The 16,748-nt window shown below is 38.7% G+C and overlaps 1 protein-coding gene and 1 pseudogene across 6 annotated transcripts in view; both read left to right on the top strand.

Moving 5' to 3' along the window:
• Positions 1 to 16,748, top strand: part of EFL1 (elongation factor like GTPase 1) — a 132,502-nt gene that overhangs the window by 83,027 nt on the left and 32,727 nt on the right. For all 6 annotated transcript variants that reach the window (NR_136410.2, NM_001040610.3, NM_001322844.2 and 3 more), the window contains one exon: positions 15,724 to 15,855. Coding sequence is in view for 5 of the 6 variants with exons in the window: in NM_001040610.3 (NP_001035700.1) it covers positions 15,724 to 15,855 (132 nt within the window). In the remaining variant the exon portion in view is untranslated. The remainder of the gene's footprint in view (positions 1 to 15,723; positions 15,856 to 16,748) is intronic.
• RNU1-77P (RNA, U1 small nuclear 77, pseudogene) lies at positions 5,324 to 5,483 on the top strand (annotated as a pseudogene).

The following is a 16,748-nucleotide window of genomic DNA, read 5'->3' as shown; positions in this document are numbered from 1 at the left end:
CTTTTCTTTCAGTGGAGGGAGGGAGGGCCACTGTGAAGGAGATTTCAATGATTGTGGAAAGGAGAGTATATATTATGACTTAGCCTTAGAAAATATAGCCTTCTTATCTGGGAGATACTGAGGAAACATGGTACAGAGGAAAAAAAGCTGTGGTCTAGAAGTCAGGAAAACTGGGCTCTCTCCAGAACTGCCAGGGATTGTCTGGGATGAGCCTTTCCCCATGCTACCCTCAGATTCCTCATTAGTAAAGTAGGTGCAATCTAAGTTGGGGTTTACTTTTTTGTCATTCTGTCTTTAAAATCAATCAGAGACAGTGCTGTTTTACAAGCAAACTATAAAACTTGCTTGCAAAGCTTTAAAAAAAAATTCATGTTAACTAAAACAGACCATTTTAGAGATGATTTTGTTTACCTGATGAGGTACTGGGTCTGGAGACCTGACTGCTTCCATATCTCCCTGAAGGCTTTTCTCATTACCTGAGTATACTAGGAAGTATTGCCACCTCTTCTGCTACCTAAGCCAAATCCAATGAGCCATTCTTTTTTTTATTTATTTAATTTGTTAGAGAGAGGGTCTCACTCTGTTGCCCTGGCTAGATTGCGGTGGCACGATCATAGTTTACTGTAACCTCGAACTTCTGGGCTCAAGTAATCCTCCTGCCTCAGTCTCCTAAGTAGCTGGGACTACAGGCGTGTGCCACCATGCCTGGGTAATTTTTATTTTTTTATTTTTTATTTGTTTTGAGACAGAGTCTTGCTATGTTTCCCAGGCTGGTCTTGAACTCCTGGGCCTCCTTCCTCAGCCTCCCAAAATTCTGGGATTATAGGTGTGAGCCACCATGCTAAGCCCATTTTCTTTATGGAGAATAGTAATGCAAACAGTTAAGTACCAAGGATTAGCTTCAGTATAGACTGTGTTATTTTCTAGGGTTCAGAGGAGGGGCATGTCCAGAGAATTGGTAGAATGAGCTCTTGAAAGTGATTGGGATACCTCCTGGAATGAAATTCCTCCTAAGGGAGAAGAAACCAGGCATGACAGGGTAATCCAGTAGTCAAGCCTTAGTCTCAAGAGGGAGGAATGATGTGCTGCCTGTCACTTGATTTGCCTTTTGGCCCAGCCCTATTGCTCCGCTGATTGAGACCTTTGGAAGGCAAGAGTAAAACCTGAAGAACTGACCTCTGTAAGACATTGGGTCACCACAATGCCTTTTTCCCTCTAAGAGAGTGAAGCACAAGGAAGGAGCATTTCCACTACTCCAGAAACTACTGCAGAGTTTGGGCACCCTGACAACCCTAGTGTTCATGTATCTATGGCAAGTGTGAGCTCGTGGGCCCATGAGGAATTTCCACTAGGATGCCCAGATTAGTTGATAGACACATTCCAAATAAGGCCCCGTATGAACTGGTGTGGACAGAGAGCCAGTGTGATTTGGTGGTTATTATTAATCAGACTTCACTGGTAGTCATAGGCTGGGAAGCCTTGAAAAAATTGTTTACATTAGTCTGTCTTGTGAAAGCTTCTTCAAAGATGCTCTGTCAGCATGTTAGCTTTGTATTACAGTGGAATTCTTTAGTTTGTTGCTGATAAATCTAAAGAATGCTTATTGAGAAAAGACACCTGAGTATCCCTGATAGAGTAAAGGGGCTTCCCCTGAAAATCCCTTATGACTCTTCTATTTGGGGCCAATTAAAAATGACAATCTTACCTCACAGTATTTTTGGGGTCTTTATTCAGAGAGTCACATATGCAAGACCATCACATTCCATACTATGGAAATCATCAACTTGAAATAACTTTCACATTATTTTCCTAACCTACATTTTGCAGCACTTTCTCTCTGGTTTTCTCAGAGCCAAAGAAATATTTCCCATGATGTGAGCTGAGATTATTTTACTCTGCTAGTGGTTAGATTTTGGCAGTGGTAGATGGTAAAAGTGGAAGGAGACACTTGAAAATTCTTTGGGTAGTGTGTTGGATGTTTTTTAATAAATAAATAAAGGCAGCAGTAGAGAAGCATGTGGTGCTGGGACTTGTTTTGCTTTCCCAAAAAATGAAGCAGACCAAAATCAAGGAACAGTTTTCTGAGCCTTTTTGAGCGTCTTCCAATGGGTATTTAAAAGACCAAAAACTTCATGTGAACCACAATGTCAGGAGCCAGAGGGTAGACAGAAGTATGCAGCCAGGAGGAGGCTGTTTACACGCACTTGAATAAGGAAGTGATTTGGTTGAGGACAGACCTGGCCAGGAGAATCAGTGTAAAGACTTCGCAATGAAAGCCACATTTTATTAGTCATTAGAGGATGTGGAGAAAAAAGATACAAGGAGATGAACCATGTGCTCTCCCCTTTGCTGCCAGTTCTTTTTTAAAGGTTCTGAAATGGTTTATTTTTATTAGTTGCAGTTATTAGCATCTCTAAAAGACTCAGAAACACTTAAAATACCCATGTAATTTGTGTCAAATAACATTTTAAGTATACTTATTGATGCATAAGATGCACATAGAAAAGTATGCAAATCTTAAATGCACAGCTTGATGAATTTTCATAAACTGAACATATGCCAGTGTAACTAGTACCCAGACCCAGAAACAGAACCTTACAAACATCCCAGAAGCCAAGCTCCTTTCGAATTACTGCCACCGCACCCCTTCACCCTATTAGATTTACCTGATTTTAAGCTTTATATATAGAATGTGCTCTTGCATTGGGCATTTTTCATTTAGCATTCTGTTTATGAGGTTCATCCATGTCATGGCACATGGTTGTGATTTGCTCATTCATGTTACTGTGTTGTGTGACTACCAGTTTATTTATCCACTCTTCTGTTGGTGGATATTTAAGTAATTTCCAGTATTTGACTATTATGAATATTGTCACTTTGAATATTCTTATACATGTCTTTTGGTTAATGTGTCTGCTTTCTGATGGAAGAGAAATTATTGGGTCATAGAGTAGGCATATGCTCAAGCTTAGTCAATGTACCACTTTATGCTTCCACCAGGGGTATCTGAAAGTTCCAGTTGCTCTGTATCTTTGTCCATACTTGTTTTTGCTTTCATTCGAGTCATTTTTGTGTGTATGGGGTAGTATATTACGTAGATTTTGCTGGTGACTAGAGAAGTGAAAGGTCCTTTTCATTTATATATTGACCATTGTTGTTTACTGATTTGTGGGATGCCTGTTAAGTCTTTACCCACTTATAGATTCTCTGCCTTTTTTGTATTGATTTATAGGCATTCTTTATATATTCTGCATAAAAGTCCCTGGATGGGTATATGTATTGCAAATATTTTCTCCTTTGCGAGTTATCTTTCTGCCATCTAATGATGTCTCTTGATAAACGGAAGTTCTTAGTTTTAATATAATCTAATATTTTTCAATTTTTTCTTTTACGACTAACGCTTTTTGTGTCTTGTTTAAGAAATCTGCTTATTCCAAAGTCATGGTGATATTCTATGTTGTTATTCCATAAGCTTTTTTTTGTTTTACTTATTGTATTTAGATCTGCAATCCGTCTGACATTGGTTTTTGTAACAGAGGTCAGGTGGGAGTCAATGTCAATTATTTTTTTCAATCAGGTATCTGGTTGACTTAGAACCATTATCACATCCCCACTGTACTGCAGTGTCACCATTGCCAAATATCAGTTTGTGTAGTTTACATCTTCAATAATGGCAGCTCTTTAATTCAAAAATTATAGTAGCTTGTGTCTAATAACTTTTCCTGGTAAAAATTATAATTTTTTGGTTTTAAAAGATTACTTGTAATCTCAATACTAGCATTCCTACAGTTTGTATTTTAGTTATTATTATTCTATTTTTATATCATCCTATTTACATTGAATTACATATTCTACTTTATTTCTAAGTAATCTTCAAAATTCAGTTTTTAAGATGTAGTCTTGCTCTGTTGCCCAGGTCTTGAACCTCCTGGGTTCAAGCAATTCTCCCACCTCAGCCTTCCGAGTAGCTGGGATTACAGGTGCCTGCCACCTTGCCGGCTAATTTTTGTATTTTTAGTAGAGACGGGGTTTTGCCATGTTGGCCAGGCTGGTCTTTTAACTCATGACTCCCAAAGTGCTGGGATTACATGCGTGAGCCACTGCACCCGGCCAATACTGTGTTTTTATAACATAAAATTAAAACCCATAACTACTGTAGTATAAAACCCCATTCATATTGAAAATGGTATTAATACCAAAAATTCAACCTGTAGTTCTGGTTATTTCATTGATCTACTAAGTAAGAAAGAAAATGTGAAGGTTGTATTTTTTCAGTCCACAATAACAGAACTGCTTCTGTTCTTGTGCTGCTTCTCACCAGGAAGTAATGCGTGCCCTGGAAAAGATAACTGGCTTGACTTGAAATGATCTGTATTTGCTTAAAAATTAGTTAACATTCTAATATTGTTACTTTTGCCTAATATTGTTACTTCAAGTAAGCTGTATCAGTGTCATAGTCAGTACCTGTGCCACATCAAGATGCAGACGTAGGGCAATAGTCTCAAAAATCCCAAGCTTTTGAAGCTTGGGATTGGAATAAATACTCAGTAATAATGTGACTGCACTGTAAAAATGCTTCAGGAGCACTTACAATAAGAAAATGTGAGAAAATAGAATGTGGGATTTCTGTCTTCATCTCTGTCTCCCCTGTGGTGCACAGCATAAGTTTATAAGTATTAGTCATTACTAGACACTTAATGAAATAAATCTAAAAAGCACAGAAGACATATGACATATTCTTTCAGCAACTGTTCAGAGCCTGCGCTCAAGGAAATCATAGTGTACTAGAGTGTAAGATTCTACAGGACCCTCCAAATTCCATAATTCCTGAATTGACTTCGTAGAAAATATTAACCTTTGGAAAAGTGATCATTGCAAATGGTAAAGGACACAGGAGTGGCATCGGGTGATGCAGGCCCACATATAATTCCACGGTGGCCTGTGAGTAGATCTGGAGATTAGGGTTTGGCAGTGGGACTAAGGTTCAACACAGCCTTCTTAAACTGAAGGCTAAGACTCCTCACTCTCAGAACCTTGGTTAACCTCAAGAAACATTCCAGTTCCCTATCAGATAGGAATCCAAGACTCCCTCTGTGGACACCAGGCACCATGAAATCCAAGTCTGGCAATCCAGAGGTGAGACCACAGTTTCAGTTTCTAGGGTCTAAATTGATTAATGCAAATGTAATCCATTTACAGTATAATCCCAGGTTCATTGCCCTGTGGTAATTCAAACAATGTGAGCATTCAAGGCACAGAAATAACAAAAAGGCTTTTTTTAACTTCTAGTTATTTTTAAACATTTTTTTTTAATCATCATAGGTACTTACTTGGTAGGGGAGATACCAAGATCACAAAGTTGGTTTCCCAGGGCGAGGCTTATTCAGTACACTCCAGGTGTGCTGACCCCTGCGATTTCCCCAAATGTGGGAAGCTCTACTGCATACTTTGTGGTAGAGAGAACTGTGTTCGTGCTCTCCCCTTCTCCCCTGACATAAATGGTTTTTTTTTTCCTTTTTTGAGAGGAGTCTCGCTCTGTCACCCAGGCTGGAGTGCAGTGGCACCAACTCGGCTCACTGCAAACTCCGCCTCCCGGGTTCACGCCATTCTCCTGCTTCAGCCTCCCAAGTAGCTGGGACTATAGGCTTCCGCCACCACCTCCGGCTAATTTTTTGTATTTTTAGTAGAGGCAGGGTTTCACCATGTTAGCCAGGATGGTCTCCATCTCCTGACCTCGTGATCCGCCTGCTTCGGCCTCCCAAAGTGCTGGGATTACAGGTGTGAGCCACCGCGCCTGGCCCAAATGTATTTTTTAAAAAGAAAAAAAGATTGTTTTATCATCATAAAAATAGTACATTTGGTGAGACCATTTGTTTAAATATAGAAAAAATAAAATGAAAATGACCTTTAACCCCACTATCCAGACGTAGCCACTATTGACATTTTGGAATATATCCTCCAGCTCTTTTTTTCTGTGCATATATATGTTTTCTTATATATTTTATTTATGCATTTAAAGTTGTAATTTTAAAGTACACACATTTTAAGAGAGGAAAGATATACTTTTTTACAAACAAGTTAATTATAGAATATTTGCAAATTACAGAAATAAAAAGATAAAAACCAGGAGCTGACTGAAACAATCATTCACTTTTTAAAACTTTAAAGTATTTCAGACAATAGATAATATAATGAACGTTCATGTACCTGCCATCCAGACTCAACTAATTTTCATGTTTTTCTTTAATTGTACAACTTTCTTTATACCTGGTGAAATGTTAGCTATCTAAGTCCCTTATCCCATCAATAACTCCCATATTCCTCAGCAGTACCACTTCTTGAAACTTGCTGTGTAAGTTTGTCTTCCAATGCTTTAAAACTTGTTTGTAATTTCAGTAGGTGTCAGCAATATATTTTTTTTAATTTTTAAACTTTGCATAATAGTATCATATTGTTCATGACCTTCTGTAACATGCTATTATTGTACTGTTTTATGTTTTACAGATTTTTTTTCTATGTTGATTCCATTGTATGAATTCATTATAATTTATTTTTTCAATCTCCTGTTGGTGGATATTGAAGGGTGCTTTCGATTTTTTGCTGTGACAAACACATTACCGTGAATACTTTTGAACATTTTTTTCCTTGTGCACATAGATGAGTTTTTCTAGGGGGTACTTCTTAACCCTGTCAAACTCTACCTTCTTTTCATAACAAATATTCTGACATCACTTTTACTACCCAGGAATGAAATTCAAAGATAAAATAATCTGCCTGCCTGCATAATTTCAAAAATATCAGTATAATACTTTAATGTAAGGGATAAATAAAAGTGAAGTGATTTACAATAAAATAACATGCATTTTAGTATATAAATGTTCCAGTTTGACTACATGAGTTAAGTCAGATATTTGTAGTCACCATGTTTCTGTGACAGTCACAGATGAAGCTTGATACAGATATATGGTATTGATGACTCATACGCCATGAGTGACTGTCGATAAAATGTTGAACAGCTTGTTTTCAGAACAAGTTCATTCTTCCTTTGATTTACGTGGTAATTCCATTTCTGAAAATTCGGTGTATATTAAACTACAAAAAAGTCTTTGTTATTAAAATGGAATTAGATTTAAACTCAGATTATTATGAACAGGTTTGTCCAGCAGAATATTCAAAAGCTGTACAAAGAGGGTAATTCTTGTACGGGAAGATATTTTCACACATGCAAAGCACTGGCCCCTGCTCACTAACTGCCAGTAGTAGGCCCCAATCAGAAACGCTCCCACCAGTCACTCACTAAATCACCTAGAGAGGGGTTGTATGGCTGTGGGTGATGTGCTGTTGGTACACAATTGTGCCTGTTCTCAACACTGCTCTGGGATATACAACTAGAAATCACATTGGTGAGTTGCGCAGTCTAATCATACTTTAATGAATAATGCAGCTTATTCTCGCTCATAGTTGTAACAATTTTTGTTCTTGTCTACAGTACATAAGACCTACTTTTTCTGCACATAACTGCCAGCACGTGGTTTCTTCAGACTTATACCAGTTGTATTGGTGTGAAATAGTATCTGGTTTTAATTTGCATTTACCTTATTATCAATGAGATTCTTTTTTTTTTTAATGTTTTTTGACTGAGGCTTTCTTTTCTTTTAATGTCTTTTCTTGGACTATTTATATTCTTTGTCTAGATTCCTATTGGGTTGCCTTTTTTCATTGATCTGTACTAGTTGTTTACATATACTTAAAATTTTTTGTCCCCTTTCGACATTGAAAGCATCTCTTTGTAGCTTTTATCTTTACAGGGTGTGTGTGTGTGTGTGTATATATAAATTTTAACTTTTATTTTCAGTACAGGAGGTATGTGTGCAGATTTGTTACATGAGAGTATTGCATGATGCTGAGGTTTGGAGTATGGATTCTATCACTTTGGTAGTAAGCTTAGTACCTGATAGGTAGTTTTTTATCCAACCTCCCTCCCCACTCTCTAGTAGTCCACAGCGTCTGTTGTTCCCATATTTGTTTGGTATCTTTTGTTTTGAAGTTTTTAAAATAATGTAGTGAGTCTTACAAATCTTCAGTCTTATGGTATCATATGATTTGTGCTTTCAGGTTTTATGTTTCACATTTAGGCCTTTGATCTACATGAAATTTCTTTTTCTAGATGGTATGACGCAGATGCAATTATATCATTTTTCACATTTCATTGGCTAATTGTTTCAATGCTGTTTACCGAATAGGCCTGCCTGTCTGCCACTGTTGCCCCTTCGTCATTTCCACATTCCCACACGTGTTGGTCTTTTTCTGGGCTCTTCATTTTTTCCCATTGATCTGTTGTCTAACAGACCGCTGTCACTACACTGCCTATTTATTTTTATCCCCTGAGGTTGTGCCACTTGCTCAAGAAGAGAGTTATGAACTGACCCTTAATATTTTCCTTTAATCTGATCCACGACTAACAGAAATAGCTCACAGTTCAAGGTGCCCTCCTCTAGTTTTCACCTACTCATTCAGCTTTTCTTTAGTTTTCTGTTTCTTTGATCATTTCAATCAGGACCATTTGTATACCTGTGCTGAAGTTGCCATTTCATCCAGAAGTGACTCTGTTTCCTGATTTTAATTGGAAATATTTAGGGTTTAAAGGTAGAAGGAATTCAGTTATGATTTCCTGGTTGTGTAAAGCCGTATCTCTTCCCCTTTCTTTTTGTCTTAAAACAAATTTCCAGCATTGTTTTCAACTATACTAAGCATTTTGTGCTTCTGACTTACTGAATCTTGTGTGTTTCCCCCATTTATTTAAGTCATTTGAATTGGAATGCAGCACATGTTAAAGGAGTATCACTTAAAACCATGTGTTACTATATAAAATATAAATTTAGGTAAATGGGACAGGATACAAAACTCATAAATGGATCTGATCCTGAATATGAATTTATGCCTCATAAAGAAGTTATTACAGCTTTCCTTGTAGTTAACAATATATACAAAAAAATTAAATATGCAATTTATGTCATACTCCAAAATAGCTCTTAAATTTGATTAACAAATCTATGAATAAAACCACTGCTACTCTGACTGTTAGAACCACCACTGCCACTACTTCCACTTATTGCATAAGGTTAGAACTTTATAACATTCAAGTTCCTTGGATTCCAAATTGAACATAACAAGAATGCATGTTGACTAAAGAAAAGAAAAAGAATGGGATGGAAAAGTCTTTTCACTTGTGCCTTGTGCTCCACCCTGCAGCTGTCAATAATGACCTTGGTTTCTCACTTAGACATCCAGTGGGGCCGGGCGCGGTGGCTCACGCCTGTAATCCCAGCACTTTGGGAGGCCGAGGCGGGCGGATCACGAGGTCAGGAGATCGAGACCATCCTGGCTAAAACGGTGAAACCCCGTCTCTACTAAAAATACAAAAAATTAGCCGGGCGTAGTGGCGGGCGCCTGTAGTCCCAGCTACTTGGGAGGCTGAGGCAGGAGAATGGCATGAACCCGGGAGGCGGAGCTTGCAGTGAGCCGAGATCCCGCCACTGCACTCCAGCCTGGGCGACAGAGCGAGACTCCGTCTCAAAAAAAAAAAAAAAAAAAAAAAAAAGACATCCAGTGGTGCCATTTCCACACCTCATCACTCCTTCCCATGTCCTCTGTGTGGTTATTTCCATACTCCTGAATGCCATTTTCTCCAGGAGGCCCATAACCTTTTCGGTTTCTGTCTTCACATGAACAAAAAGTATACTTTTCCTATTATAAGATGTGTCACATTGTATCGTAATTAACTGTGTATTTGCCTTTGTCCCTCACCAGATTTTAAACTCTGTGAAGACCGCAACTGTGCTTATGTGCACTCATTCATTGAGGAATCTATGAAGTGCCTATTTTGGTCCTTGCCGTTAAAACTGAACTCATTGAAAGACTAACAGAAAGTTGAATAACTGTTTATCAATTATTTGAAAGCACAGCTTCCTGAGCTTTGAAACTTAGACGCCAAATGGAAAAAGCTCAAAAAGTTACTGTAGAGAAAAAAATAGAAGCAAAATGAAAAGAGAAACTATAGTCTGGAGAAAAAAAAATATGAAAGAGTTCAAATGTTTATTACATAAAGAACTAATATGAATGATAAAAGTTATAAACCTAAAAGAAGAATAGACAACTGCTTTGAACTAGTAACTTATCTGCCTAGTTGTCCATGTCAGGAATCTGGATTTTATTCTTGTTTCCTTCTTGTCCCTTCTTCCCAGCTCCTAAAAAACCACCAAGACTTAGCAGCTCTACCTCAGTTCTCTCTAATTTCTCTGTAAGATCCCAATTTATGCTCCAAGAAAGGATCATAAGAAAGCCAGACCACCACCATTCTATTAGGAACAGACTGACCCAAATGGAGCTTCATTCTCACCAGGAAAATGATACAGTTGTGAGTGTGGGTAGATCCTTTTTGGGTAGATCCTCTGTAGATTCTTTTTGTCCTGTTAGGACACACCAAGACATGATAAAATACTATGCCCCACTCAGGCATTCTACTCTGTTTCCAAGCCCCAGATGGAATTTCTTCCACTGTTTTAATCCTAGACCCCCACACTGAGAACCGCGTTATTCCCTTGATGAGAACCAAGCTCCATTGGGTCAGTCTGTTCTTAATTGAATGATGGTAGTCTGGCTGTCTCAGGATCCTTTCTTGGGGCATAAATTGGGACCTTACAGTGACACATAATAAAACTCAACTTGTTCAGGACACTGAGGGACAAGTTTCTACCTCTTCTCAAATACAAAGATAGTAAGCCAGCATATTTCCAGGAAAAAAGAGTTTTCATTCTTTAGGTGTTACTTTTTCTTCTCATTTTACTGGGTAGTTTCTCTTCTGAGAAAAGGGCCCACAGATCTTGAAGTAATATGTGTAAGAACTATTATTACATCTGTAATCCCAGCACTTTGGGAGGCCAAGGAGGGCGGATCACTTGAAGTCAGGAGTTCAAGACCAGTCTGGCCAACATGGTGAAACCCCATCTCTACTGAAAATACAAAAAATTAGCCGGGCGTGGTGGCAAGTGCCTGTAATCCCAACTACTTGGGAGGCTGAGATGGGAGAATCGCTGGAACCCCAGGAGCCGGAGGTTGCAGTGAGCTGACCTCGCGCCACAAGCACTCCAGTCTGGGCAACAGGGCGAGATTCCGTCTCAAAAACAAACAGACAGAAAACTGTTATTAGCTCAGTCTGTTCCTATGAGAAGAAAAAAATTTATGACATAGTGATGTCATTGTTGCAAGATTTTTCCCTAAGGCCTACTATAACACCAAGAAGTTAAAGGGCAGTTGATTTAATGGACTTGTTTAGCATGATGGACAGACTTGACCCATCTTCTGAAAACCTTAGCTAAGCAATACTGATCCACTTTGGAGATGCTGGCCAAGCAGGCTTGGAAAAGGGTGACAAGAGTTATAAAGCGTGTGGATTCCCTGTTATTCTTTGTAGTTGAGTCAAAGAGTGCAGAATCTTGAGTTTTGATGAAAGATACAAAACCAAGGCATAAAATTGGAAACAGAGGATATGAGCTGCTTTGGTATCCAAATGCAAGGGGGCCTAAAGCAGAAGATGGTCTTTCAAAACTAAGGGTTCTCTAGATTCCCACTACCTGGGGAGCTTGTACTTAAAAAAAATCCTCATCTCTCTTCCAAAGTGATGTTCTCTCACAGGCATGAGGCTGTATGGATGTTCATGACATATGACTTGCATTTACTGCAAAGGTGTAAAGAGATCCATTAATTCAGCTTAAACAGGTTAACAGGAACAGGTTGATGGTTCTTGGGTGAAGAATGTTAAAGTCAGTTTGAAATAAAACTTTGGTGATTAAGAGACCATATTCTAACGTTTTTTCCCACAAATTTTTAAAATTCTAATAATGTTAGAATTAAATTGTAACAGTACAATGAAAGAGCACTTTACAAATCCAAATTTGCCTGAAGATGGTAATTCTGTTCCCTATCCAGACAGCTAACAGGCTCGCCCCCAGAAAGCAGTGTTAGTATTCACTAATGGTTTTACCATCTTCCTGCTTGCCAGTGTAACCTCATCCTAGATTGATTAAACCTGTGCAACAGGGAGTTGTTAAGAATAGTAAAAAAGTTTTCAACAGAAGGTGAATTCATCTCTCAAGCCTCACACAATTTTTTTCAGTCTCATATCATAAAAGATACTCTCCTTAATATTTCTTTCTGAAATTCTTCTTAAAGGGAAACATTTGGGACAGCCTAGAAAAAAAAATTTGGCTCAACAGTCTTTACAAAATACTGGTTTTTGATTATGAGGAATTTGAAGGGTGTAGTATACAGTCTAGCAAGGACCTATGTACCCAGTTGTCATTCCAGTCTGTGTGAACATAGAGTTCACATGCCAATTTATTTAATTTTATTTGTTGTATAGAGAAAAATCAGGATCATAAAGGGCTTGGGTTTGATCACTTATCTTCAATCAGACAAAAGTACTGGTGTTTCTATAAAAACTAGAATTCTTGGCATCTAGTAAATTGCTTTAGCTCCATGTTCCTCAACCTGCTTTCTCTTTTATTTCTTGTAAATCACATGTACTTTTTTGATAAACATAAAAAAATACTGGTGCCCTCTATAATCCATGAAATGTGAAAATAAATATAGTGACTAAAATCAAATCAATGGCACGCTAATTTTGAATTTTATTCCCCCGTGCTATCACTCTTCCTACCCTGGGAATTCTGAAATGATTACCCGGAGGGAACATACTTCTCATCCCCCAATTCCAGTTGAAAAATGCTTTAGCAAATGTGCTTTCTGTGAAGAAATTCTTTGTCCCTAATTGTTATAATTTTCACTAAAGTGACTGAAATGAAAATCACATGATTTAATTAGAAAAAAGAAGGACAAGAAGTTTATGGTTATTACAACAGTGTAAATTATGTGTGACAATAGAGAAGAAAAAAGAGAAATATAAAAATGAAAATAGTGGCAATATTAGAATGATGGGATTGTGGGTATAATGTCCTTTTTCAAGATGGTACTTGCTGATGTTATTTTTAAAAACAAAAAGTTGCTTCAGACTGTATTTTGTGTAAAGAACAAGTTGTGCATTTAATAATTGATAGCAAATCAAGAAATTCTGAAAAGGAATTTTAAAGTCACTTTATAGTGATTCATCTAGATCATCTTAATGGTCCTCCCTTTCCTAGATTTTAAAATTATATTTAAAAATAAGTAAAAATGTTGACATGTAGTACAGGTAGTGAAGTTTTTACTATCTTTGGAGCATTGCTTTTTCCATAAATTCTAATCTTAGCTATGAACATTGTGGTCTCTTGACTTTTTGTTTCTGGGAGAATTATAATCATGTTAGCAAATCTGGGCATATCTAAATAGCAAGAGTAGATTCGGTAATTGGAACAGCAAAATGTAAACCAGAAGTTCAAAGAGACAGTGTTTAAAATATACTGACCATCTGCAGTCTGCATCCCTGGTAATACAGAGGAAAGACCAGCATTTATCTTTTCATTGAAACCATGTGCTGTGTGTGTAGGAAGGAAATGCATGCTGGTCAGAGGTCAGAAGCAGGATGGATGAGGTTTGAAAGGGAATATTTACTATGGGGTTTTCCTAAACCCTTAGCCTCTAGGGAGATGTTATTTCTAGTAGACTTAGTGGAAACTTAGACCTAGATCTGTTACATCATAGTACCAATGGGAGATGTAAACAAGAAGCTATAGCCAGGTATTACTGTGTGTGCTGAGCTAAGAGGTACAATAATAAGAAATTTAGACTTTGACCAAAGAAGTACACTGGAGGCACAGGAGGAATTTAACATCCTAGAAACTTTAGTCTGAAGAGGATCCCATGCACACAAAAGGTCTGTAAATCATGTCCTGTGCTGATTAGTTAAAGGAGCTAATGATACCTAATGTGAGGCAGAACAGAGTTAAAAGGATCTGACAAATGCTTTCAAAATCCAAAAGGTAGTTGGTGAAAGTGAAAGAAGCACATTTTCTGTGAACCTTTGGAGGTTCCACACACTAAGAACGATGTGTGGAGATGGGGAAAGACAGATTTTAGAATACTGCAAGGAAGATTTTCTTAAAGTTGGAGCTATCTGTTAATGTAGCGAGGTGATAAATTCTAGTGGCTGTCAGACCGTAGATATTCAGGTGGATGTTAGATGGAGGTTTCCATACTGTGTAGTCGGACAACAAGAAACCTCTAAATTATCCTCCAAGTTTGTGTACCTGAAGCCTCTGCTTCAGTTCCTCTCCACCAGTCTGGATGTGTGATTCGGTGGCCTCCCATCACCCTGTACCTTTACATCAATTGGTCAACTAAGGACAGCAAAGTGATTTTCTTTGTTTCCTTTCTTCAACCCAAAAGCACAAAAATGGCCCGTGTGTGTGTGTTTCTCTCGCTCTCTCTCTTTCACTCTCTCTCTTTTTCTCTCTCCTGTCCTATCCTTTCCTGTCCTTTTTGACGGGGTCTCAGTCTGTCACCCAGTCTTGAACTCCTGTGCTTAAGCGATCCTCCCACCTCAACCTCTCAAGTACCTGGGACTATAGACAGGTGTGCACCACCATGCCTGGCTGAATTTTTTGTAGCAAGAAGTCTCACTCTGTTACCCAGGCTGGTCTTGAACTCCTGACCTCAAGTGATCCTCCTTGACTTCCCAAAGTGCTGGGATTACAGGCATGAGCCACTGCACTGGCCCTTTGTATGTGTTTCTTAATTTGTTCTAAAATGTTGTCTACTCATAGTCTGGGTGTGAGATTCAATATGCCTCTTTATCACTCTTTTTTTTTTTTTTTTGAGGTGGAATCTCGCTCTGTCGCCCACACTGGAGTGCAGTGGCACGATCTTGGCTCACTGCATCCCCCGCCTCCCAGGTTCAAGCAATTCACCTGCCTCAGCCTCCCAAGTAGCTGGGACTACAGGCGCCCACCACCACGCCCGGCTAATTTTTTGTATTTTTAGTAGAGACGGGGTTTCACCGTGTTAGCCAGGATAGTCTCGATCTCCTGACCTTGTGATCCGCCGGCCTCGGCCTCCCAAAGTGCTGAGATTGCAGGCGTGAGCCACTGCACCTGGCCCCTTATCACTCTTTCTAAGACATTCTTTTTGCTTCCATCTGCTCAAAGACAAATATGCAACCTTCAGAGTCTCATGCAATCATCAGCCAAAAGTCTGAAGTGAGTGTATGGCAGGGGGAAGGGGTTGACTAGGATTCTCTTCTAAAACAGGGGGAGTATGGAGGGTAGCTTAGGGTAACATACTACATAGCAACATCACATTTTAAGTTTCTAAATTCCCTTTACTCATATGCAGATGGATTTGGCAGAAGATTATTTCAGTAGAGACCCATCTTCATCAAATTAATATATTTTTAAAAACCAACTAAGTGTTAGAAATAATCAGTGTTTTCAGACAAATATATCTGGAAGTGATCATTTCTGTGGTCAAAGTAGCTATGCATTAGCCCAATCTGATATAATAGGATTTGTACATGTGGGAAACAAAAGGCAGAATTTCTGTATTTTGACAGCAATCAAATGGTATCCAGGTGTACAAAAAAAAAAACAGTGCAGGTCCGCCTCATTTCTTGCAACATTTTGGAAGCATTTGGCTCTGTGATACATATACTGGGTTGATGCTGCTGTTTTTCTGACATAAATTCAGAATTTATCATCCCTTATTGACCGTATGGATCTTTTCTTCCTACAGGAATAGGAGGCCTTCAAGATTTTGTGCTGAAATCTGCAACACTGTGTAGCCTGCCATCCTGCCCACCATTTATACCACTCAACTTCGAAGCCACTCCTATTGTGAGAGTTGCTGTTGAACCAAAACATCCAAGTAAGATGACCTTATTTTTAAAAGCATATGTTTATTATACTTTTAAAGCATATGCATGTATTTAGTATTTGATTCCTCATGACTTGTTTCAGCAGTATATAATGAATTTTCATTGAGGTCTATAGTAGAAGCAACTCTTCAAAGGGCATCTAACTTCTGTCTTAGGAACATGCCATGGTTACAGGTACCTTTGCTGTCCAGGGAGACTGCATCTTCTTGATGGCAAAGACAAGGTCATCTCTACATCCCCCACAACCCTGGCATAGGATTGTAGCTTAGCAAAGCTTATGTTTATTTATCTATTTATTTATTTTTTTGAGGCGGAGTCTCACTCTGTTGCGCAGGCTAGAGTACACTGGTGTGATCTTGACTCAACCTCTGCTGCCTGGGTTCAAGCGATTCTCCTGCCTCAGCCTCCTGAATAGCTGGGATTGCAGGCATCCACCACCACACCTGGCTAATTTTTGTATTTTTAGTAGATACGGGGTTTCGCCAGTTGGCCAGGCTGGTCTTGAACTCCTGACCGCAGGTCATCTGCCTGCCTCGGGCTCCCAAACTGCTAGGATTACAGGCGTGAACTAAAGTGCCCGGCCAAATTTCATGTTTTATGTGACTTCTTCTTAGTTGGAATCTTATCTCAAGCTCCTTAGTTCAGAATTCATCATTTGCCTCTTCCCTCTAGGTTTGACAGATTATCTGCACACTGAGAATTTCCCGTCTGTTTAGAAACCACTTTCTGCACCTTTCCTGCTGGCCACCTGACATTCACATATACCTGACCATATAATAACAACTCCTTAGTCTTTGGCTTATGGTATTTGCCTAGTCAATCCTTTTTTACTTTTGTATTTCACGTCCCATGACTATTGCTAATCCTGAATCACTGTGACTTT

This window comes from Homo sapiens, chromosome 15 (assembly GCF_000001405.40).
Source record: "Homo sapiens chromosome 15, GRCh38.p14 Primary Assembly".
NCBI lineage: Eukaryota > Metazoa > Chordata > Mammalia > Primates > Hominidae > Homo > Homo sapiens.
The sequence above is the reverse complement of the archived record's forward strand: the minus strand, read 5'-3'. Positions and strand labels throughout refer to the sequence as shown.